This window comes from Homo sapiens, chromosome 7 (assembly GCF_000001405.40).
Source record: "Homo sapiens chromosome 7, GRCh38.p14 Primary Assembly".
Classification (NCBI taxonomy): Eukaryota; Metazoa; Chordata; class Mammalia; order Primates; family Hominidae; genus Homo; species Homo sapiens.
In genome coordinates, this window is record NC_000007.14 from 35,827,783 (window position 1) to 35,852,448 (window position 24,666).

Here is a 24,666-nt window from a genome sequence, read left to right on the forward strand (position 1 = left end):
GCCTGGCCAAATTATTAGTATATTTTCTAAATAGTATTTGTGCTAGGTAGCTTCAGAGCCATATTTTTGTATCTGATAGGACACTTCTATACGAATTTTGGGATGATATGTTTTTAGCCAAACCCATGTTTTATCTTTGTACAGAGTTTCTTCCTCAGAAGATGTTTTCCTGAAAGAGTAGTCATTCAGATTTTTAAAATATCTACTGTGTGTCAGCACTTTGCTAAGAACATAGAGATGAATATGACATGGTTCTCTCCCTCTGGGAAATCAGTCATATGGGGGAACTGACAAAATGTTTAAAATAATTTTATTTTAAAAAATATTTATTATAATAATTACATGCAAATAATTGTCTACTGTAAATCATCCTAGTTACTCTTCTTTGTCACCATGTTACTGAGACTGCTCTTATTTTTTAAGTTACCAGTGACCTTATTTCCAAATTTTATCAGTATGTCTGTTTCTGTAATGGTATCTTTCTCTGTAGCATTCAGCATAGTTAAGTGAATCCTCCATCCCTGAGATGATCTTGGTTTTCTTCCTGTCTCCACTGACTGATCTTTCTCTGCTCCAGGGCTTTGCCTCGACCCCCTTCTTCTTTTTTTTGAGACTGGAGTTTCTCTCTTGTTGCCCAGGCTGGAGTGCAGTGGCACGATCTCAGCTCACTGCAACCTCTGCCTCCCAGGTTCAAGCGATTCTTGTGCCTCAGCATCCCAAGTAGCTGGGACTGCTACAGGCACATGCCACCAAGTCCGGCCCATTTTTGTATTTTTAGTAGAGATGGGGTTTCACCATGTTGGCCAAGATGTTCTCGATCTCCTGACCTTGTGATCCACCCGCCTTGGTCTCCCAAAGTGCTAGGATTACAGGCATGAGCCACCGTGCCCTGCCGACCTCCTGTTTATCTATAGTCTGTCTTTGGGAATCCAATCCTGTTTCAATAGTATCTGCATGGCGATGATTCCTAAATCTATATTTTCAGCACCAACCAACCATGAAATTTCTCACTCTGTTGTCCAGGCTGGAGTGTAGTGGCATGATCACAGCTCACTGAAGCCTCAACCTCCTGGGCTAAAGCAATCCTCTCGCCTTGGCCTCCCAAAGTTTGGAATTACAAGCATGAACCGCTCTGGATGGCTGAGAGCTATCTTTAAAACAGTAATCAGGTCACTTGCCTATGAAAAACTCTCTAGTGTCTTCCTATCATGCCTAAAATAACATCCATATACTTCCTACTTTGGCTGAGTCCCAAATGATCAGGCCCCTGCTTGCCTCCCTGACCTCATTTCCTATCACTCATCCCCTTGTCCACTACTTCACTTCATTATAGTTCATGGACCTTCTTTTTTTTTTTTTTTTTTTTTTTTGGAGACGGAGTCTCGCTCTGTCATCCAGGCAGGAGTGCAATGGCACGATCTCGGCTCACTGCAGCTTCCACCCCCTAGGCAGGTTCAGGCCATTCTCCTGCCTCAGCCTCCCGAATGGCTGGGATTACAGGCACACATTGTCAGTCCCGGCTAATTTTTTGTATTTTTTAGTAGAGACGGGGTTTCACCATGTTGCCCAGGCTGGTCTCAAACTCCTGACCTCAGGCAATCCACCTGTCTCGGCTTTCTTTTTACTCTTGGAAATACCAAGTTCATCCCCACTTTAGGGCCTACCCCTTTGCCTGGAATGGTTTCCCGCTTTCCACAATTTTAAAATAATACTGTGTGCCAAAGACTGTTCTTGTTGCTAAGGATAAAGCAGTGAATAAGAGACAAGGGCAGACCCTGAGTCATTTTTGTTATACCTCTTATCTGATGAGTTCCTTCAAGGTGCAGTCTAAAATACTGTATTCTTTGAAACTACTGGTGCAACTTGCTCTCAGTAGCTTCCTTTTTTGATGTACCATTTATGTAATTCATTCAATCTCTGCGTTGATGGAGCTTACATTGCGGGCAGGGTGGAGGTCACAGTAAACAAGTTGGGTAAAATGTGTGTTGGATAATGGCAAGAGCTAAGAAGAAGCATACAGCAGGCAGCAAAGTGCTAAGGTGAGGAGTGGGGTCGTAATTTTAAATAAGGTGATTAGGGCAGGCCTTTTTGAAGGTGACATTTGAGTAATAAAAATAATCTGTGGCTGGGCTCGGTGGCTTACGCCTGTAATCCCAGCACTTTGGGAGGCCAAGGCGGGTGGATCATGAGGTCAGGAGTTCAAGACCAGCCTGGCCAAGATGGTGAAACCCCATCTCTACTAAAAATACAAAAATTAGCCGGGTGTGGTGGCACATGCCTGTAATCCCAGCTACTTGGGAGGCTGAGGCAGGGAATTGCTTGAACCTCGGAAAGAGGTTGCAGTGAGCCGAGATCGCGCCACTGCCCCCCAGCCTGGGCAACACAGTGAAATTCTGTCTCAAAAAAAAAAAAACTATTCCAAATAAAAAAAGCAACAAGTGCAAAAGCCATGAAGTGATAGTATGCACTGTATGTTTGGGGGGTAGTTAGGGATTCAGTGTTGGGGAAAGTGAAGTGAGCAAGGGGAGGAAGTGTAGCAGGAGATGAGGCCAGAAGTAAGAGTAGAGCCAGATCTTGCTAGGCTTTGTTGGCTAGTGGCTTTCATTGGTACACATTGGAACTACTTGAGGAGCTTTAAAAAATACTGATGGATGGGTTTCGCTTGCAGAGATTAATGTAATTGATCTGGAGGTGCAGCTGAGACATTAGGATTTTATAAAAGCTCCCCCAAGTGATTCTAAGATGCTGCTAAGGTAGAGAAACACTGTAGGCCATCATTGGGACTTCGGCTTTTACTTTTGAGGAAGTTCGGAAGTCATTGGATGATTTTGTCATGGAATAATTTTGTAATTAACTTTAAAACTGGGGTTTTGTTTATTACATTTAATTACCTTAACTATAAAACGGACTCCAGTTGTTTGAAGTGGGTTGTGATATAACTCATAGATTTGTATCAGTATAAAAATGCACACTTTTCACAGTTTGGCCAAGGATTATCTATTTTATTTTCTGTGCTTCATTAGTTGCCTTTTAGTTTTCACAGTTCACATATGTCTCCTCTTTCCATCTGTTTCTGCTTATCATCTTTAGCTTCCTTCCTTTTCCTGTATCTAAATGTCTACATTTCTTTAAATTCTGGACTTCAGTTTAATTAATAGAACTTGAAATACAGCATTGTATAAAAAGGTTTTAACCAAAACATTTGCATTTGTCTGATCTGAGCTGTCTTAATCCAGTGACTGACAAAGCAAAATTGCATGAAATTTACATTTTTTTTCTTCTTGTAATTTAAAACTTGGTTCCTGTATACCTTCCTGGATCTTTATACTTTTGTATCTTTTCTACCATTTCTGTAAAACCTCAACTGCAGGGTGCAATAATGGGCCTTATTTTCTATATTTCAGCAGGACAGTTGCTGAAAATGGGTTTAAACTCACTGGCATTATATCCCACACAAAAATATATTACTTTGACATGTTTAGAAAAAAGTCTGCCTTTAATTTCTTTGTAATTTACCTCTAATTTGTTGAGTTACATGTAAGTAACTTTTTTTTCCCCTCTGTCTTGCTGTGTTTCAATGGATTTGCCTCTCCTGTTTGGACTGAATATGTCATTACAATTCTTGGAATTCTTTGTTTACTGTTCCTCTGTGGATTTCTTCTGTTGGAATCTGGAACACTGGAATGATGGAAATGTGTTCTTTACAAAGTAGCTGTGAGTATACTACATAATTTATAGAGTTTTTTTCAGTCTCAGTTAACTTAAATTTAATTTATAGTTGGATGAAATATGAGCCAAGGAAACCTTAGGTTTAATGCATATTTCTAACTCCACTCATAGCAGACTTTCAAATATTTGACTTAAAAATGTTAGATTCTGATTAGTCTCCTAATTATTATGTTTATAGTTAGCTTTTCATTTTAATGGGCTTCGTTTTTAAAATTTGGCTTAAGAATTAGTTTTATGAAATGAACAAAAGAGCCAAAGATTATGGATGGAATATTTAGCTACATGACTAGTAAACATTGTAGACTTCTGTTCTTTGTTAAATCCAAATGTATTGAATTGATGTTTTGATCCCATGATTGCTTTTTAAATGAGAATTTAAATGTGGCAGAAACTTTTAAGAGAATGTGTGCCTCTTTTTGCTATTTTTTAATGTTGAGATAAGACTGCCTCCAAAGTAAAATTAACCAATGAGACTCTGCTTATTCAAATAGTCTTAACTACGGACAGCATTTCTCACCCATGGGTAAGTTAGAAGTCAGACTTATTTACTACACCAATTTGGAAGTAGATTTCTTTCAGTTACTCACGAAACTATTGTTGAGGTCATCTAGGAATAAAAAACCAATAGAAAATGAAGTTATAAGTTACTTTAAAACCTGGATAAACCTGAAGATAAAGGCAGTAGGATCATGTGAAACCTTGAAGTGACAAAATTGGACCTGGCATAACAGCTTGAATGATACTGTAGCTGGTTGACACTGATCACAAGAGCCTTCAAGAGTTTATTTTTTAAAATTGCTTTAAATTCAACATTTTGATTTCATTTCATGAATAAGAAGACAAATTTCAAGAATCTCATGCCTGTGGTATAATTAGTCAGTGTGATCAAAGGAGATAATTAAAAAGGATTCTTAATATGATATGAAGGGGATTTGAATTTTTTTATTGTGAAGAATCCTTTGTTATTTTGCTTTTTTAGTTGGTTGGTCAATCATCTTGTTACTAACTACTGTCAATTGAAATCTTTGCTCTGAGGCAGGTTTTCTAAATTTTTATTTCATTCCCTTGGATTTTTATAATTAACCATTATATTGTCAGTCAACTCATGCTCAAATAATTTTGTCCATTTAAGAATTGATAGTTTTATTGATAATGCCATGAAAGTAGTTTGATTTGCTGTGAATAATAGTATAATTTTCTAAAATAGGTTAATGAAGGGAATTTGAAAGTGTGATTGAATAGTACTGTTGATACATGAATAACTTGGCCCTTTTTGCTTTTGTCAGCAACAGAAGAACCTTGAAGGCTATGTGGGATTTGCCAATCTCCCAAATCAAGTATACAGAAAATCGGTGAAGAGAGGTTTTGAATTCACGCTTATGGTAGTGGGTAAGATATGATTTCTTACTAAAATGGAACTTTGGTTTAAGTTTTAAACGTTAGTCAACTCTGAATAGATTTAAGAAAACACTGGCACAGATATCTACAGTGATCATATCTTTGTTGTATTTTCTCTTATGTGCATACATTTTAAAATTTAACTCAGTGGCATAATGGGATTTATGTCTTGCCTCTTATTTTAAGGTAGAAACTACAAGTTGAGAAATGGTGGGTGATAGTGTTGGAGTGGAACTCTAGAGAAGTTATCTTCAATTCATAGTGCTACAAAAGAAAATAGCATCTGGTGGTTACTTACTACTCCAGGATAGTTTTGTTTTCTGGCTTATATGCTATAGTGGAGTATCATATAAGCATTTAACTTAATGTGCTCTGAATTTTGAAAAGAAAGGTAGGATAGAGGATCATAATAATGTAGTTGATTACCCTTGGAATTCATTAATTGAATGTAAGCACTGGAATGAGTAAAATATGACTCTCCTGGTTCTCTAATTCAGTCTGAGTTTTCTTTTGTGTGTTATTCCATGAACACATTACCCTGCCTATAGTCCATTTGAAAATACTGTTAAGGATAATTTTGACTGTAGGTTGGTAGCATCATTATTAAATATGAAGAAACACACTGTGTCTTTCCCATCTATAAGATTAGTTATCTTCAATAACAGTCTTACTCTTAAATGACTATACAGTATTTTCACCTCATATAGGCTGACTTTAGAACCTAAGTTACGAATATTGTATAGTGTAACTTTGTTGTATTTCTGTTATTTAAGAAGGTGAATTGCAGGGTAGTGGATTAGCTATCCTTAACAAAGAAAGTTGAGTTGATGCTTGACTTTTTAGGTAGTATACATTTTTGTTAACTATGTTTCAACATCTAGTATTTTTATTTTGGTGCTGAATTAGGTTAATTGAACTAGCTGTGAAATACTCCTTTATTGGGAGGTAGAATATTTTATCTACTGACTGCAATATTTTACCTGTTGGTCAGTTTTTGGCTCTTTGGAAGTTGTATACATCGTCAGAGTTCACAGTTAAAACAGGTACAGAATATGCAAATTTGATACTTTATAGCATTGGTTACCTTGTCTATGTATCTCTTGTTGAGTAGAAGTATGGTATATCTAGCTTGCAAACTGCTGCTGTGGAGTAGAGATGGGTCTAGATAGAGGGATAAAATAATGCAGAGCATACCTTTTCTTCGGTAGGTTGGTAACATCATCATTATATGAAGAAACACTGTATCTTACCTTTACATATGTAATATTAATAATCTCAAGTGACAAACTGTAGACAAATACAATTTTTTCACTTACGGGAAAACCTCCTAGGTCCATTAGGAGAACTGTAACAATTAAAAAAATTTCCTTTGACTTTAGAATTTTTGTTTAAAGAATTACTTTTTAAACTATACTTAGTAGGATAATGTCTGGTGATCAAGGCCAGAGAGTTGATTTAAAATCTCTGTGGCATTTTTCCAAATGAAAAAAATCAAATAATCATCTGATTTTGATTTTTAGAGGAAATATTCAGTCTCTAGATGTATATTACTTATTAGCTTTTCTAATTAATCCCTTTGTGAAATGCAGCTTTTCTTTTTTCTCTTCCTAATGATAAGACTTCAACTGAGGCCAAAGAAAAATAGGTGTTAATATCCTTACTTTCAAGTGTTAATATCCTTATTCTGTTTTCCCACTGAGCCTTGAACATTGTTTAATTAACTACATTTGAATAGATATATTGAGTGCAGGTATTAAATATTTTCATCTATATAGGTGTAGTGCCTTATACATAGTCACTTACTAAGTATCTAATCACTTAGTATCTAATATGTTGATTTATTTTTCAGATTTTAGGCTGACTCTAACAGCATCATTTGCAAATCATAGAAAGCTGAAACCAACCTTGCTTTAATATTCTTGACTTAAAAACTTTCAGCTATTCCTTATGAGCTAAATCCTCATTTTTGGGATCTAAACTCAGAATAAATTTGGCTCCCACATTACGACAGTTCATTTACAACTTACACATTGATATCAACTGAGAATCTGTAACAGATTTTTTTTTTATTAAACTCTTTGTACTTTGTTGGAAAACCTTTAATAATCTTGCTTCATAAGCAATGTTTATTGAGTACTTGCTTGAGTGACTTATTTGTATCAAAGAAGCATGCTGTGTATTCCCATATTTTCTGTCTTAAAGGAGCTTCTGATTTATATGACAAGATAAACCACATAGAAATATGAGTCAGTAGAATCATACAAAAGTTAAGAGCCATAGAAGTTTAAGGGTATAGGACAGTTTGCCTCAGTTGGAGATTATTATTGCCTTCTTTTGAAAAGGGAGGCATTAGGACAAATTTTTGAAGGATAGAATTGGGGCCAAGATTGAAGGAGCAGTCCTGTTGGCGGAAATAATAGCCATCATTTACATAACTTTTTTATGTGCCAGGTAATGTTTTCAGTACTTTATGGGCATTATCTGCTAACTTACGATTCTTACAACAGCCCTATGAAGTAGGTATTGTTATCCCATTTTGGAGCTGAAGAAACTGAGGCATAGCGAGATTAGGTTACTTGCCCATGGTTACATTGCTAGGAGATGGCAGAACCAAACCCAGTCTACTGCTCAGTTAGTCTGGGATGTTCTTAACCACCATGCAGAGGCTAATCTGGGGATACTGGGTATAGTGCAGTGTTTATAAGAGTACATCCAATATGCCTTGAACTTAGATGAATTCAGTGAAAGAGAGAATGAATGAGAATGAGAACTAGAGAACTTAAATAGTACAAGTAATTTTTCCTGTTATTCCACTGGAATGAGCATCTGGCCTAGAGTGGGTGTGAAGTGGGAGAGGTGCATTTGCTATTCTCCTAGTCATTATTAGCTTCCACATAGTTTGATAGTGTGAACTCCTCACTTTGCTGAATGTTATAGTCTAGGGACAACAGGGCACCTAAGTACAAATTGGTCACTTTTTATGTGTTCAAAGAAACAGTTACCTATTTTAGTGGAGGAGGAAGATAGGTTGTTAGCTTGTATGTAATTGTGCTTTATGGATGATATAAGGAATTTTTCAAGATTTTTTTCACAGCACACTGACTTTAGGATCTGACCCCTAAGGTGTAACTTTACAATTAAAATTAAGCTGGAAAGGTAGACTAGCCAGGATTTTGGAGACCCTGATTGACAATTTGATGGGGAGATTAGAATTCTTGATTTTGAATCTTTAAAAATTTAGGCATATCAAATAATGAAGACATGTAGATCTCTATTCAGTGAAGTTGTCTAACCTGTTTGGCTTGGAACTTGACTATCATTAGTGTGCTCCCTAATTAGACTTAACTGTGATAGAGAATAAATTTTTAATTGTAATATCCTGTTTTTACTAGAATTCTTCAAGGAGGCAGAACTCAGAAAACTGTAGTTTGCTTTATTTAACTTGAAATAGTTTTTAAAACAGGTAGTATTAAACCTATTATTCTGAATCCTAGGAAGATAGAATCCAAAATTCAGTCATTTCTGTAATCTTGAACTTTGCAAAATTTTTGTGATAACAGAATTTTAAACATTTAATGATATGTCAATAATGTATTTGACCTATGCCACATGTGTTTAGTGGCAGATTGGCACTTCTATTTTTTTTTCCAGTGGGAGAGAGCTTAGAATATGTTGGTTTGGCCATTTTTTGGGATTCAGAGTTTATCCTAATTTTTTTTTGGTATATGCCTTATCAGAGAAAGTTTAGGAGTTACTTAGTTAGTGATAGGATATACGATGACTATCCTAGTTGTCATTTTCCTCCACTGCCTGTTGATGTTTGAATTGATAAAATAACATCTATATCAGTTTATCAGGTTATTTGAAAAAATTGAAAGATAATATTGGCTCAAAATTTTGTATCTAGGCTGTTGAGCATTTTGTGGTATTTTTAAGATATGTTAATTCCGTGAAATGTTTTGAGTTATGATTTTAAGATTTTTCCTTGAGCTCTGTATTTTTATTTTGCTTTTATTAATAGAAGTAACTTAACTGATAATGACTTCACAACATTGGGGATATACTAAAAACCATTGAATTATACACTTTAAAATGGTGAATTTTATCTTAGAAAAAGTAATTCAAAAAGAAAGTTTAGAAGAAAAAAATCACATAATTCCACATGTCCACTATTTTAATTTTGTACATTCCTTCTAGCTGTTAAATCTGAATATTCTTTAAAGCACTTAAAAAATAAAGTTAATATATTTCATTGCAGAAATTGGGAAATGCAGAAAAGCAAAACGAAAATAAATATTGTCATCTGTCACCTATTGATAATAACTCTTAAGTATAGGAACATTTAGTATTCTTATGTGTATCTGTAATGTTCTATGATTGCCTTTTAAATGTGTAGTTAAATTGTGATTATCTTGTGATATCGTACGTTCTTTCATAACCTATCTATTGGTCAAATTGTAGACTTTAATGGCCTGTATAGGTTAGATATATCATTCTTGGTCATATTGTCAGGATAGTTAAAATTGCTAGCTAGTATTAATACTATAATAACATCGTTATAGTTATACCTTTGCTTCAATTTTTATTTATTTTCTTAGAATAATAAAGCTTTGGAAGTTTGAATTGCTGTTAAGATTGATGCATTGATTTAAGGGTTTTGATACATAATACCAAATTGCTCTAAAACAAGTTGTGTACCATTTTGTATGCTCATCAAGTGTTGACAGCACTGTTTTTCCTGAATACTGCCAACATTGGATATTAATCTGATTCCTAAAACGTGGTATCTTATTTTCATCTGTATTTTATTGTTGCTAGTTATTTTATTTATTTATTTTTTGAGATGGAGTCTTGCTCTGTTGTCCAGGCTGGAGTGCAGTGGTGCAGTGTTGGTCCACTGCAACCTCCACCTCCCAGGTTCAGGCAGTTCTCCTGCTTCAGCCTCCCTGGGACTACAGGTGTGCACCACCACCCCCAGCTAATTGTGTATTTTTAGTAGAGATAGGGTTTCACCATGTTGGCCAGGCTGGTCTTGAACACCTATATTGACCTCAGGTGATCCACTTGCCTCGGCCTCCCAAAGTACTGGGATTACAGGTGTGAGCCACCACACCTGGCCGTCGCAAGTTATTGTTTATTTATCTTTGATATTCTTTTATAAATGGTGTGTTCCAGTTTATTTTTAAAAACTTTTTTTTTCTTAAGTTTAGGTAGGTAGGTACTCTGAGGGCATTATTATTATTTTGTTGTTGGTAGGCATTGACATTTTTTTCCAGAATTTTTTGTGTGTTGTGTTTTCTATTAGCTTGATTTTTATATTATCCAAACTTCCTTCCTTCCTTCCTTCCTTCCTTCCTTCCTTCCTTCCTTCCTTCCTTCCTTCCTTCCTTCCTTCCCTCCCTCCCTCCCTCCCTCCCTCCCTCCCTCCCTCCCTCCCTCCCTCCCTCCCTCCCTCCTCCCTCCCTCCCTCCCTCCCTCCCTACAGGGTCTTGCTTTGTCACCCAGGCTGGAGTGTAGTGTCACACTCTTGGCTCACTGCAGTCTCTGCCTCCTGGGTTCAAGTCATCCTCTCCCCTCAGCCTCCCAAGTAGCTGGGACTACAATTGTGTGCCACCGTGCCCAGCTAATTTTTTGTTTTTGTATTTTTTTTGTAGAGGTGATGTTTCACCATGTTGCCCGTGGCTAATCTTGAACTCCTGGGCTCAAGCGATCCATCCGCCTTGGCCTCCCAAAGTGCTAGGATTACAGGTGTGAGCCATTATGCCCGACCTCAGTCTTTTTCTTTGTGGTTTACTTAATGTCTTCTTGCTTGATTCAAGGTTATTAGAAGTTTTACTACATATTAAATATAAAGACTAAATGACTAATTAAAGACTAATTTTTTATTTTGAAATCTTAAATCCGTATGGTTTTTTGATCTAAGTTGTGAGGCAGGAATCTGATGTTTATTTTTTAAATGGTTGAGTAGCCCTACCAAAACCGTTTGTTACAAGCTTAATTTTTAAAAGTGTATATGCTTGGTTTGTTTTCTTTCTTACCCTTTGGTTTAGTTCATTGGTCTTCCTATATAAATACTACATTCTTGGAGTTATAAATTTCCAGCAATTATGTTGTTGATTTATGTAGGAAGATTACCAGAGTTTATGTTAATTTAGGGAGATAGGCAAACAGTAAGTCAAATGATTACAAACTGCTATTTTCTAGAAAGAAATAAACATGGTGAGACTTATTTGGAGTCATCAAGGAGGACCTGCCTTTTTGAAAAGGATATTTTTTCATGCTAATTCCTGAATTACATGACAGTTAGGAAATACTAAAAAGAGAAAAAAAGGAAAATAAAGACTTAGCAGCAAGAGATAATAATCATTAATATATGCTGTGTTTATCTTCCATATTTTACTTTGACCACTGTGTAATGTTTCCAGCTGTGGCTATCTGATATTTTACCATTGCTTCATCATTTGACATTTGAATGATTTGTTTTGTTTAATCTCATAATAATGCTGCAATAAAAATTTTACAGAATGGAAATTTTGGTCAACATTTTAACGATAATGCTTAATGGCTATATGTGTATTCTAATCTGAGATGGAATATGCTATAATTTTTGTAATTTATGTTATGTTATGTTATGTTATGTTATGTTATGTTATGTTATTTTTGAGACAGAGTCTTGCTCTGTTGACCAGGCTGGAGTACAGTGCGCTATCTCGGCTCACTGCAACCTCCACCTCCCAGGTTCAAGCAATTCTCTGCCTCAGCCTCCCCAGTAGCTGGGATTATAGGCGCCTGCCACCATCACGCTCAGCTAATTTTTGTATTTTTAGTAGAGATGGGGTTTCACCATCTTGGCCAGGCTGGTCTTGAACTCCTGACCTTGTGATCCACTTGCCTCGGCCTCCCAAAATGCTGGGATTACAGGCGTGAGCCATTGCGCCTGACCTGTAATTTATTTTTTTACTGATGGACACTAGGTTTGTTTTTACCCCTACCCTTGTTACAAATAGCATGGCAATGAAGATCTTTAAACACACAGAGTTTTGTTATATGTATGTTGGCAGACAGAGGGCAGTATCATTTTTATTTATTTGTTAATAATTCCTGAAGTAGGATTATTAGATCAAAGTATTTGAACATTTTGTGGCTCTTGGCACATACTGGCAAATTGTTCCTTTCTTTTCTTTCCCTTTTCCTTTTTCTTTTTTTACCTTCCCTTTTTCCCCTTCCCCCTTCCTCCTTCCCCCTTCCCCCATCCTTCCTCCTCCCTCCCCCTCCTCCTCCCCCTTCCCCCTCCCCCCTTTCCCCTCCCCCCTTCCCCCCTTTCCCCTCCCCTTCCCCTTCCCCTTCCCTTTTCTTCTTTTCTTTTTGAAACAAGGTCTTGTTCTGGTGCCCAAGCTGGAGCCCAGTGGTATAATCAGAGCTCCCTGCAGCCTTGAGCCCCTGGACTCAAGTGATCGTCCCACCTCAGCCTCCCAAGTACCTGGGACTACAGGCACACACCACTATGCCCAGCTAATTAAAAAAATAAAAATAAAACAAAATTTGTTTTGTAGAGATGGGGTCTCACTGTGTTGCCCAGGCTAACCTTGAACTCCTGGCCTAAAGCAGTCCTCTCTCCTTGGCTTCCTAGAGTGCTGGGATTACAGGTGTGAGTCATCATGCCTGGCCAGCAAAATTGTTTTTTAAAAGTTTATGCTACTAAAGATTATATATTAAGAAAAAAGGAAATTTTTTTTTTCTGAATTTGAAGAGATTTATGGTGTATTTGAAGGTTAGGCTATTCATTCCATGGATGTTATGACTGTTTTAGATGCTTGAGAGGGATTTTAAAGGTACATGAATACACTATAATAGTAGAGGAGGAAAACAGTATACACATAACTATACCATGAATCATAATGTGTTAAGTGGCATAAGAAATGTGTAAACCAAATGTTATGGAAGTTTAGAGAAAGGAGACTTTACAGCTAAAAAGCATGCCATTATCTTAATCATTTACTAATTCTTGAGAAAAAATGGTACTTTTTTTCAGTAATTCGTATATTCATGTTTTGTTTGCTTAATTCTTAATCTGAATTAATGGCTTAAATCCAGTGTCTTAATCATGGAACAGTGTAGTTAGGAAAAATACTTGGAAAATCAGTCTTACAGATTGCAGTCTATTAGCCAGATGTAGCGGTGTGCACCTGTAATCCTAGCTACTCAGGAGGCTGAGGCAGGAGAATTGCTTGAACCCGGGAGGCAGGGGTTGCAGTGAGCCGAGATCGTGCCACTACACTTCAGCTTGGGCGACAGAGTGAGTGAGATTCTGTCTCAAACGTAAAAAAAAAAATGTGGTTCTGTAACAAGAGCACTATCTGGATTGACATATGTAAGAAATGTAATCTTGATAATATCCCAGTTTCATTTAGCAGTCTTTTAAAAAGTCATCAGTGTGATTTTAAAAATATAAGCAAGTCATTGAATTATGATTCTTAATCTGTTTTTGCTTCTCATACATATACTATCCTAATATGGTCTTTGAAAATAATACAAGAAACTCCAGTGTCGAAAAACACAGCTATCCTTTCTTTTGACAGACCGAGAGGCCTAAGATAAACTTCATAGTATATAGGCTGAATTAGTTAAGGATGGTCATGTTTGTCAGACCTAGAGAAACTGTTCTCTTGGTATTGAATACACTCAAGATTGATTGGATAGGTGGACTGAAGTAAAAATGGTATCACATTTGTTAATTTTAATTAGCTAGATGTTGGGACAGAAATATGAAGGCCGCATAGTCTGTCAGTATTTTAAAAGAACTCAGTACTGAACGGAAGGCAAGGACATGAAGGGAGCACATGTTAGTGTAACTTCTTTACAGATAGAAATGTAATTCTCACATAGAAGACTCATTTAGTATGTAGTTTTCATCTTGGCAAGGAAGACTGCTCTTTCTTTCTCCATAATGGGTAATTTCTAAATCTTTCCTAGTCTAGGTCATGGAGGCCAAATACTATTGTGGGTCAGGTGGGTCCATCGTTTTCTTAGGTGACTGTATCACATAAGTCTGAAATGTAATTTTAAATATGAGATAATAATATCACCTTCTGCTTAGCTATGACTACAGTCTAGCACCAAAGGAGGTCAGAATTTCCCCCTTTATATTTAGTCCATCTTTCTGTTGAAAGCATTTGTAGATTGAGTGTTTTTTGTATTATGAATCGGGTTTAGTCTCTCCCAAGGCAGGAAGTTTTCAAGTATTACATTTTTTAATACACAGCAGGTGGATTTTGTCTGAAAGATAGTTTTATGCCAGGATATTGTACTTGTTTCACTATTGAACTACAGAACCTTAGAATTATTTTAAAGATTGGAAAGGTATAACCTGTCTCCCATGAAAGACCTTTGTAGTGGTAAATTTGCCAACCTTGTTAATTTTACTCAAACTTTGTTTTTGAAAAAAAAAAAACCCTCATTTTAAGTAATAATTTTCATGTATTTATATCTAGGTCTTGGGGTTTTTTGGTCTGTTTTACTATATAGGAGTATATAGCCATTTAAAGCAGTGGCTAAGGTACTGAAGGCTGTGGATCAAATTTTTAGCAGGGAAGGGGAATGCTGAATGGGTTCACTGACTTGCCAAACTTTCTGAAATATAATTGAGATTTTTATCATGTCTTTATATTCTGGAGACAGATTGCATGTTTAGAATCTCAAAAAGGTCATCTACCTAAAATACTGAAAATTATAGGTACAAAGTATTTTATATAATTAGAAGTGTACGTCATTATTTACTGCACATGATTACTGTGCTGAAAATAATGTGTTAATTTTAAATTTTGAAACAATTCTAAACAAAAGTTACAAGTACAGTACATAACTTTTTTCCTAGGATATTTGAGATGGATGCTTCTCTTTTGTCCCCCTAAATACTTTAGTATATCTCTCTTCCTCAAGGATATTCTGCTATATAGCCATAATATACCATCAAAATCAGAAAGTAACAAGTGTATGTTATACACACACAGACACACACATTTATATATATATGTGTGTGTGTATGTATGTATTGAAAAATATAAGTGCACACTTAAATCTCCAATTTCATTCCATCACTGTAGGGGTCCTAATTTTCATCTCTCCCATATTTGTATTGTCCTCTGATGGTGAAAATACCATTATCTTCCATATGTGTACTTATTTGATCAATCCCCCTGTAATTAATCCATCACCTCCTTCAGGTTCTTCCCTTTCTTCTCTGAAAAATATTAGGGAAGAACCAGAGGGAGGTAATGGATTAGTTAATTGCAGGGGGATTAGTGTAATTAAGGGGGAGGCAGTGGCCCTGCTTACCTCTCTTGTGCTGTGATGTCTTATGCAAGGCCATTCTTCTCATGTGGATGCCCCCTCATCCTATTTAACTCAGACATCTCATGCTAGTCCATTCGTATGCTCTATTAGAAACTTTTCCTCATTCCGTAGGCTCTAATACCCTAATACCCTGTTCTGGGCCACTGTGGATTTCTCTCCAGCATGGACACCTACCTCTGTCAGTCTCACGTAATGACTTTTGGACTGAATTTTTAGGAAGAAATATGGAAAAGATAGAGCTGAAATAATTTTGAAGTGTTCAAAAGCCAGTATTTGACTGTATTATAGAATTAATTGGTATGTGAATAGAATAGTTTTTTCGATGCCTAAAAATGTAGAAAAATTAGTAAAATTGTTATTTTGGACTGCCATAGAAAAAAATGGTGGAGATAAAAAGCTCTGGAAAAATTTAGCTGGGAAATTAAAATTATCTGCATATGCCTACAAGTGTTGCAGAGTTATAATATTTACATATATTTTGATAAAGTAGCATGTCCCCCAAATTTACTAACAGTTGAAACAAATAGGCTGATATTTAGAAGGAAGAAAGTTTTAGACTTTGGGGCTTCTGTTTCTTGTACTGCCCAGAACCCTAAGTAAGCAGATGATAAATACAAGGTAATTATGCATATCAAAGAATCAAATGTGAAGATTTGATTGTGAAGAGTTCATTCTTAACTCAAGTTTTTAATGATCAAAGGCTATAAATTGTTTATTATGTTACAGATGGAAATAATTACAGCAATAACATAAAGGATGAGCTCTTTCATAGCATGCTTGTCCTGGTTCAGAGGGTAAATTTTAATTGAATGATTAGTAATTAAGTTTATGTACATCAGCAGTGTAAGTGCTAAGAATTACTGATGAAGCGGATGACATGAAAATGAAAATGATTACTTCTACCCTCAAAGGAATTTCCAGGGAAATGCACACTACTAATTACATTTAGTTGAATAAAGGTTATAGTAATGTACATTTAAAGTGCCATGTAGTCAGGAGTTTTTATTTAGATTTATGTGGTAACTTTATTAGTCTGATAGGATCGATTAGAATCTTGAAACTAGTAACTCACTATTGTGTTTAAATTTGGAATTTACAATTTATTTTGGCAATTTTGTAAAATTTTATTCATGTTTTTGACTTATGTTTTTGTCACACCATGAAAATAAGCCTTCTGTATTTAACTTTATATCTACTTTGTAAAAGTGCAGCAGCTGTTACACTGAAAAGAATATCATACTTAGTCCAGTTTAAAACTTCAATTTCTGTCACAGACAAGCTGTATGACCCTGGACAGATCACTTTGAATCTCACTTTCCTTTTCACAACAAATATTTACCTAGTCTTTTTTTTTTGAGACGGAGTCTCACTCTGTTGCCCAGGCTAGAGTGCAATGGCGTGATCTCGGCTCACTGCAACCTCCGTTCCCCTGGGTTCAAGCAGTCTTCTCCTGCCTCAGCCTCCCGAGTAGCTGGGACTACAGGCGTGCACCACCACACCAGGCTAATTTTTGTATTTTTAGTAAAGACAGGATTTCACCATGTTGGCCAGGCTGATTTCCAACTCCTGACTACAAGTGATCCACCCACCTTAGCTGGGATTACAGGTATGAGCCATTGCTCCAAACCTTACCTTGTCTTTTCTAATCCAAGCATTGTGTTGTGATTACAAAAAGTAAACGAAGGCCAGGCTCATTGATGTGTGTAATCCCAGCACTTTGGAAGGCCCAGGTAGGAGGATTGCTTGAGCCTAGGGGTTCGAGACGACCCTGGGCAACAGAGTGAGACCCCATTTCTAAAAAAATATAAAAAATAAAAATAAAAGAGCTGTGGTAGGGTTCCTTAAGAACTTGTGGGTGTAGGATGGTGGTAGAGTGGAGATACTTACACAGGAATGCTGTGTACTGTGAGTGACCACCCCTGCCTCACAGAGGGCTTGAGATAATTGTGTATATGAGTGTACTACATATATATATTATATATGTAAAATACCTAGTACATCTGTAAATTGAATAAATGTTAATTTTAAACATATTTTTATTCGTGCATTTTCATGACTTAGTTTTAAGATCCAAAACGAGGAATGAAGAAAAGGGAAAGCAGGGATGGTAGACAATGATATGCAGTTAATAAGCTAAATATTTGATTAATCCTTACTTTGTACTTCTGTTTTGGTTGAACTCTTTTGATTATAAACATTCGGGGCAAATGTGTGCTCTTTGTAATTCAGTATAGATTGCTGGGCAAAGCTGTTTTCTGGTGAGAGTCAGATTTAAAAGATGGTTGAGAATTTATTCTTTTCCTTCTTAAAACATGGTTTAGCTGAGTAGCTTAGATTCTTAAAAACACAATATGACTTTTTACCTGTCTATTCTGTGCAGGTAAATATCGTGCTCAAGTTTTTTATGTGATATGACTATTTAGTCTGAAGGGTGCACTTGCTTTATGGTTGCTGAATATTAATGCTACCCCTTGCAAACCTTTCGAGTATCTTGTTTTCCCTGGACTGTGTCAGGTATTTAATGTTAGTGATAGGAAGACTCTTAGGAATTGATTTTTTTTAAAGTTAATAAACTTTAAAAAAAGTTTTACTTTGAGATTTTGGACCTGATTTTATATATGTGGATGTTTGCCTTTGTTGTTGAATCAACATGAATTATATATTTGTTTGAAATGTGGTTGGATATTTAGATAACTCCTGTTTTTTTTTTGATATAACAGATATTCAGATATATGGCTTGAAATTTTCTTCCTATAAAAACTAGGACTTGTTACAAAATGGTTTTTGATTAGAAAAGTAATATGAAGGAAGTATATGGCATTTTAAGAGAGAGGACATCACCATTGTTAAATTTTGTTATTTTTCTGCATCTTAGGCATAGCTGTAATACCATATTTATTTTGTATACTTTCTTCATCTAATGCTGTGGCAAGCATTTCTCTATGTCAGATTTTTAAAAGCTAATTTTCAATGGCTGAATAATATTTTTATAGGTGTATCATAATACGCTTAGCCTGCCTCCCATTGTTGGACCTGGAAGGTCTCCCTCTGCCACCACACACACACTTTTTTTATTGTTAAAATATTATTGCAGTGTTTTTCTCTGTGTGTTTCATTCCTAGAAGTAAATGGCATGGTAAAGGATGTTAACTGAAAATGTCGTACCAACTAATACAGTTTCTATAGGTGTGTGAATGCTCATATGTGTCTCATCCTTGCCAATATTGAGTGGAAATCTCTTTTATTTTCCTGGAGAAGTTGGTTCTTTAGCACGAGGGAAGCATTTGAGAGTGTCTTCAGGATGGCTCAACTTTGCAGTGTCTTCAATAAATAACTTCCCATAACTTCCCACTCTGTAATTTGCCCACCTGTATTACCCCACCCCCAAGCCTCAGACTTTAGGAAATGGCATCAGGCCTGTATCTGGAGAGTTCAGAGTTCTGTGAGGTAGAGCATTCCTTCCAATGGGACCTAGAATTCCTAGAGTTGCAAAATTCTACTGATTAGACCCAGGAGGTCTCAGGAGTCCAGAGTTGCTTGGAGCTTGGCTCAGAATTCCAAGGGGGCCCATAACTCCATGAGGCCCAGAGTTCCTGGCTTGGGAACACTGGGAGGCCTGGGATACTGTGGCTTAGACTCAAGCAGAAAGGTGAACACAGATCTTTATTAGCAGATACCAAATTTGACATTTAAAGGAGATTTCTGAGCAGCTGCAGACCTCGCCAAGACCATGCAGATTCCACTGACTATTCCCATGCCAGTGCTCCAGCTGCTCAGGCTTGAAGGTATGTGAAATAATGTCACTACATTAGAGCAGTGTCTCTGCACACTTACGGGAGTCTGCAGCTGTGACACATAGAAGTTGGCCGTGTCCAGATTGGTGGCTCCGAAGTGGGCAGCCTTGTGCACACAGTCGTGCAGTGTGAAGCTCACCTGTCGACGCACTGTAGCCAGCATGCTGCAGAGGTAACATTCCCGAAGGGCAGCTCGAGCCCACTGCTCCAGGGATTCCTGCGATTCTTGAACTATGGGACCACTCTTGGATTTCAGGAACCTCTGGCTTCAAGGGCCCCAGCATCCATCAGGGGCAATGCCATGGCTGAAGCCATCAGGGCCCCCGGGTAACTGGAACACAGGCACAGGAATAGTCAGTGGAGTCTGCATTGTCTTGGTGAGGTCCACAGCTGCTCGGAAATCTCTTTTAAATGTCAAATTTGGTATTTGCTAATTTGGTATTAGAGGTTTTACATTTTATTTTACTTGCCTTTGATTATTTATTTGAAATTTTTAAAAAAGTACTGTTCTTTATTTGGAAATTTTGTACTTGCAACTTTTTTAATGTCAAAAGTCTTCTTTTTGAAACTTTTTTTGCCTAGCTTTTTATTAAGTATAGTCACACCACTAATGACAATTTCATTGTTATATTTCTTGTGAATGTTGTAACTTAAAAATAAATGAGTACAGTACTCTTTTATTTTTAAAGAAATATAGTGAGATATAATTCACATAATCATGGTATGATTCAAATACTTCATCCCTGGTCCTTAGGGGATACGTTTTGGTATATGAGATTTATAAAAAGTAAGAACTTAAAAGAATCTATAGGTTATCTAATTCAAAGAGTTAAAAACTACCCACTTCTGCTTTGAAAGCTACTTCTTAGAACCACTGTATAGAACATGCTACCTGATGAAGAATAAATCAACACCTTGCTTCCCGTCTTCTATCCATTAGATATCCAGGTAAAATAATATCTGTTTTCCTGATATTTCTCCTTTACTTACACTCCAGCATGCCACGTGGCCAGCTGTAAGTTGCCCTCTACTTTTGTAGAGCCCTTTGCTGTGTTTCTGCAAAATCTACTTTTTCTGATTCGTGTAACTCAAAACTAGCTCTATTTTCTTCCAAATTAAAACTCTTATTTTCTTAATTAATGCTGGCCCAAAATAGAAATTAGAGGGAAAGTCTTATTCCAGGATCTGAAAGACTAATAGTATTCACAAGAATACTTGATTTTTTTTTTGAGATGGAGTCTCGCTCTGTCGCCCAGGCTGGAGTACAGTGGTGTGATCTCGGCTCACTGCAAGCTCCGCCTCCCGGGTTCACGCCATTCTCCTGCCTCAGCCTCCCGAGTAGCTGGGACCACAGGCGCCCACCACCATGCCCAGCTAATTTTTTGGTTTTTTTTTAGTAGAGACGGGGTTTCAGCATGTTAGCCAGGATGGTCTTGATCTCCTGACCTCGTGATCCACCCATTTTTAAGGAGGAATGTGTATTGAATGATCAATTAGAATTTCAGGTAATGGGAAGAATTTAGAGGAGCATTGAGGGACAGCTCATAGACTGTATTTAAACCGTCAATTTCAACTGTTTTCAGTTTAGCAAAAGAACTTACAGAAATTTGGTATATATCTTATGAAACTTTGCAGACCCTAACCTAACCTAGGTCAGGCAGTATCTTTTACTACAAAATTGGGATAATCATTTTCTAAATAATCATGAAGAAAATGTTCTGAGTAGGCAGTAAGGATTTCTCTGGTAACATGATGATTTAAAAATGTAATTGTCCACTTGAACTGGGTTGTATAAAGAATGCTTCTATTTCTGAGTATAGCAAGAAAGATCCTAACATACCTCTTAGCGCCTCCCAGCCTCAGACGTGTAGCAAGTGAAAGCTGTTTGAATTGGCAAATGAGGTAATTATTGAGTAGCTGGTTGGAATGTTTGCTACTAGCTATCCAGCAGAATTGTTAGTTCTTAGTACTGGTGTAATTACAGTAATTAGAATAAGTAAACTTCTTTTAAGATAATTGCAGGGCCAGGTTATATAGAGCTTGTTTAGCTTGCCTTTTAGTATTAGCATGTACATCAGTGTGTATGTTAAAGGATACCCTAATAGATTTTGTGGAAATGGAATTGTCTTATAGTAAATTCCAGATCAACATATGTATGGAATGTATCTAATGTAGTCTAGACCAGTGGCTCCCAGTTTTTTTGGCACCAGGGACTGGTTTCGTGGAAGACAATTTTTCTGCCAGGGTGTGTGTGTGTGGGAGGGGAGCAGGATGGTTTCGGGATGAAACTGATCATCAGGCATTATATTCTTATAAGGAGGACGCAACCTAGATCCCTCACATGTGCAGTGTGCAATAGGGCTTGCATTCCTTTGAGAATCTGATGCTGCCGCTGGTCTGACAGGAGGCGGAGCTCTGGCAGTAGTGTTCACTACCACTCACCTCCTGCTGTGTGGCCTGGTTCCTAACAGGCCACGGACTGTGGGTTGGGGATGCCTGGTCTAGATTGTTCTTCACAGATTAAATCTTTACCAGATTAAGTTTATTAAAAAGTAAAACAAAGAATAGCGCCCTCCCTTGGCAAAACATCTTGGTGTGGTATCTTTTCTTCATTTTACAGCCAGATGTAAAGAAAAAATAAACCTCTACTTTTAAATTTCCCATCCAGTACTTAATTTCTCACCATTTGGCTTCTCTCCTTAACACAAAACTACTTTTATTAAAGATCAGTAAAAGGCCTTCTGGTTGTCTTTTTCTTTAACTTATTTGGCATTACTGACCATTTTTTCCTTGAAACTCTTCCTCACTTTTTGTGATATTGCCTCCTGGTTTACCTGGTTGTGTTGAAGCCTGCTTTATTAGGATCCTTTCCTGTGGGGCCATCTTTAAATGTTAATGTAATCTGGCATATTGCCCTATGTCATCCTTATTTACTAGAATTTCTTAATTTTCTTTTTAGGGACAGGACAACATGAACATAAGAATTTCTTAATTTCATCTACCTTTCAAATCATTTGGGAAGCTTCTTCAAAGTATTCTTGGAAACACTTGCCTAGATATTCTGGGCTTTGGGTCTAGGATGGAATATGATCATCTATTTTGAAATACCTCCTGAGATGACACTAATATGTATTTTGGTTAAGAACTATAGTTTGTTGCTGTCTCACCTCTTAATAGGTTTCATTTGAGGTGCTTTTTAAAATGTCAAGCCCTGTGCATTTAATTAATAAAGTAGGTATCTTGATCAAGGTCATATACTTGTAGGTGATTGAACTAGGATTTGAATTTGAACAAAATTGATTTCAAAACCCAGGAGAAAAATGAAGGAAGGAGTTAGAGGAACAAGGTAGAAAAGCTCCACAGTGTGATCACCAGCTCCTCTCAGGCTTTCCTCTTGCCTCTACTCTAACATGGTAAAACATTCTGAAAGGACTTAAAGATTCTGTTTCTAAAAATCCTTTGCTTTCTTTTCTATACAATTGCTATAAAATGGTAAAAGTGGCTCCTTGAATCTACAGATATCCCAGAAAGTTGAAATGCTTATTGAAATGATACTCCATCTTTCAAAGCCTCATTGAAATGTGACCTCCTTTCCAGGCTGGTGTGATTTCTCAGTTTTCTGAAATTCTGTCGCTTTGGGGTATCTCATTCATGATTTTGATAAAATTCTGCCTTGTTTGTACATTGTTTGCATATCTTACCTCTTGTAGCATACTAAGATTTTTAAGATCAAGGACTACATCTTATCTTTGCATTCCTCGTTCATTTATTTGATAAAAATTTAATGATCACTTATAAAATGTCAGGTACTACTTTAGTCTCAGAAAATCTAGAGATTAATAAGAAATGTATATGAAGTTGAGATGCTGAGTAAAACAAAGATAAGCGAGCATCTTTAAAGCAGGACTTCTCAGATTCTTTTATTATAAATACTGTGGGATCCCAATCCCAAAGACCTGAAGAAACCTGACGTTAGCTATTATAAACAAATATTATTGTGACTTTCTTCAAAACCTTATAAACAAATAGGTGATGAATGTTTTATTTTTAGGCTTGAAATTTAACATTCTTGAGTAGTGATAGAATATGTGGCTTTCATGGACAAGTCCTCAAAGATAAGAAGGACATGGGTTATTTTAACATGCTTATTAGGTTGAAGTACATGTGTTGTATTACTGACTCTAGTTACTCTTGTTTCTTAATTTTCATAGAGTAACACCTTAAATTGTAAATATTATGTTTTGTTTTAATAAGGACAAAAAAATTTAAAATCCAGTTATTTCCCCTTAAACTGCAGTAAAATGAGGGAATGATAATGACATTGTTGCAAAACATGTATAATGCATTTCAAAGTCAGAATAAATGTAAAATAGGCATTAATTTGGAACATTCAGAAATTTATTTGGATTTATTAAAATATTAGTTTGAAGAAATATGAAATGTTACAGATATTCTTTTTATCTTGAGTAATTTTTTTCTTAAGCCAGTATATATATTATTCTGAACTCTATTCTTAAATGTTTTCTAAATAATGCAGAAGTACACTTGATTTGGGTTGTTTCCACAGATCTTGTGTTTAAGTAGAGTTTGATTTGATAGGACTGATTATAGTTCTCTATTGTTTTGCATTAATGATACTACTTCCTTCCCTTTAGTAAAGCCAATGAACAAGGATCAATTGTAGTTATAAGTCACTTTGAGATTATTAGACAAGGCTGCTATATTTTGTCTTGTAATTATAGGCCACTTGACATTTTGGTATGGAAGTAAATATTACTCTACTAAATGTGAGTAGAAATTAATATTAATGTTCAAACTCAGGCATAGCCTCACTGCTTTCAACATTCCTTTTTACTTATTTTGAGGCCAGTACCCTTTAGTGTCAATAAATTGCCAACCTTACTCTTCTACTTTACCCCCCTGCATCCCTGTTTCAAATGTTTATTCCCTTCTTAAGGCTGTCTACTTCACCTTTGACCCTTATTCTTAGTAGTTGCACTAGGGTCCTTTCTTTTTCTGTGAGAAAATGTGAATAGTAATAAAATACATTTCATTGCAACTACCTATTACTGATATTCAGGTGTCCACTGTGCCAAGGTATGATTCTAATGAGATCACTTATTCCTCACACCAACTCTGTGTTGTTGTAGGTACTGCTTTTATCTGCATTTCATAGGTGAGGGCACTGACACACAGAAGTATGGTTTGCCCAAGGTCACAAGAAAAGTTTATTGATGGAACTGAGATAAGAGATTTCAAGGAAATTTTAAGCTCTAATGGACTACTATAACCTTTGCCCCTAGACTTTTCCAAAGTTACACAACTACTTTCTTACAATTATTGGTACTTTTGAAAAAAAAAAATGAGATAACTTGGATTAAGGGTATGTGAT

At 36.3% G+C, this 24,666-nt stretch overlaps 1 protein-coding gene and 1 pseudogene across 11 annotated transcripts in view; one reads left to right on the forward strand and one right to left on the reverse strand.

The window, feature by feature from the left end:
• Window positions 1-24,666, forward strand: part of SEPTIN7 (septin 7) — a 114,778-nt gene that overhangs the window by 26,797 nt on the left and 63,315 nt on the right. For 4 of the 11 annotated variants that reach the window (XM_011515661.3, XM_011515656.3, XM_006715806.4 and 1 more), the window contains exons 2-3: window positions 3,710-3,714; window positions 5,016-5,118. The exons of 1 other annotated variant lie outside the window; for it this stretch is intronic. In XM_011515661.3, coding sequence (XP_011513963.1) covers window positions 3,710-3,714; window positions 5,016-5,118 — 108 coding nt within the window. Of the gene's footprint in view, window positions 1-3,709; window positions 4,253-5,015; window positions 5,119-10,780; window positions 10,876-24,666 lie in introns of those variants that run through there. 6 more of the 11 variants (XM_047421095.1, XM_047421097.1, NM_001375299.1 and 3 more) reach the window with 4 other exon arrangements.
• LOC107986783 (gem-associated protein 7-like) lies at window positions 19,118-19,644 on the reverse strand (annotated as a pseudogene).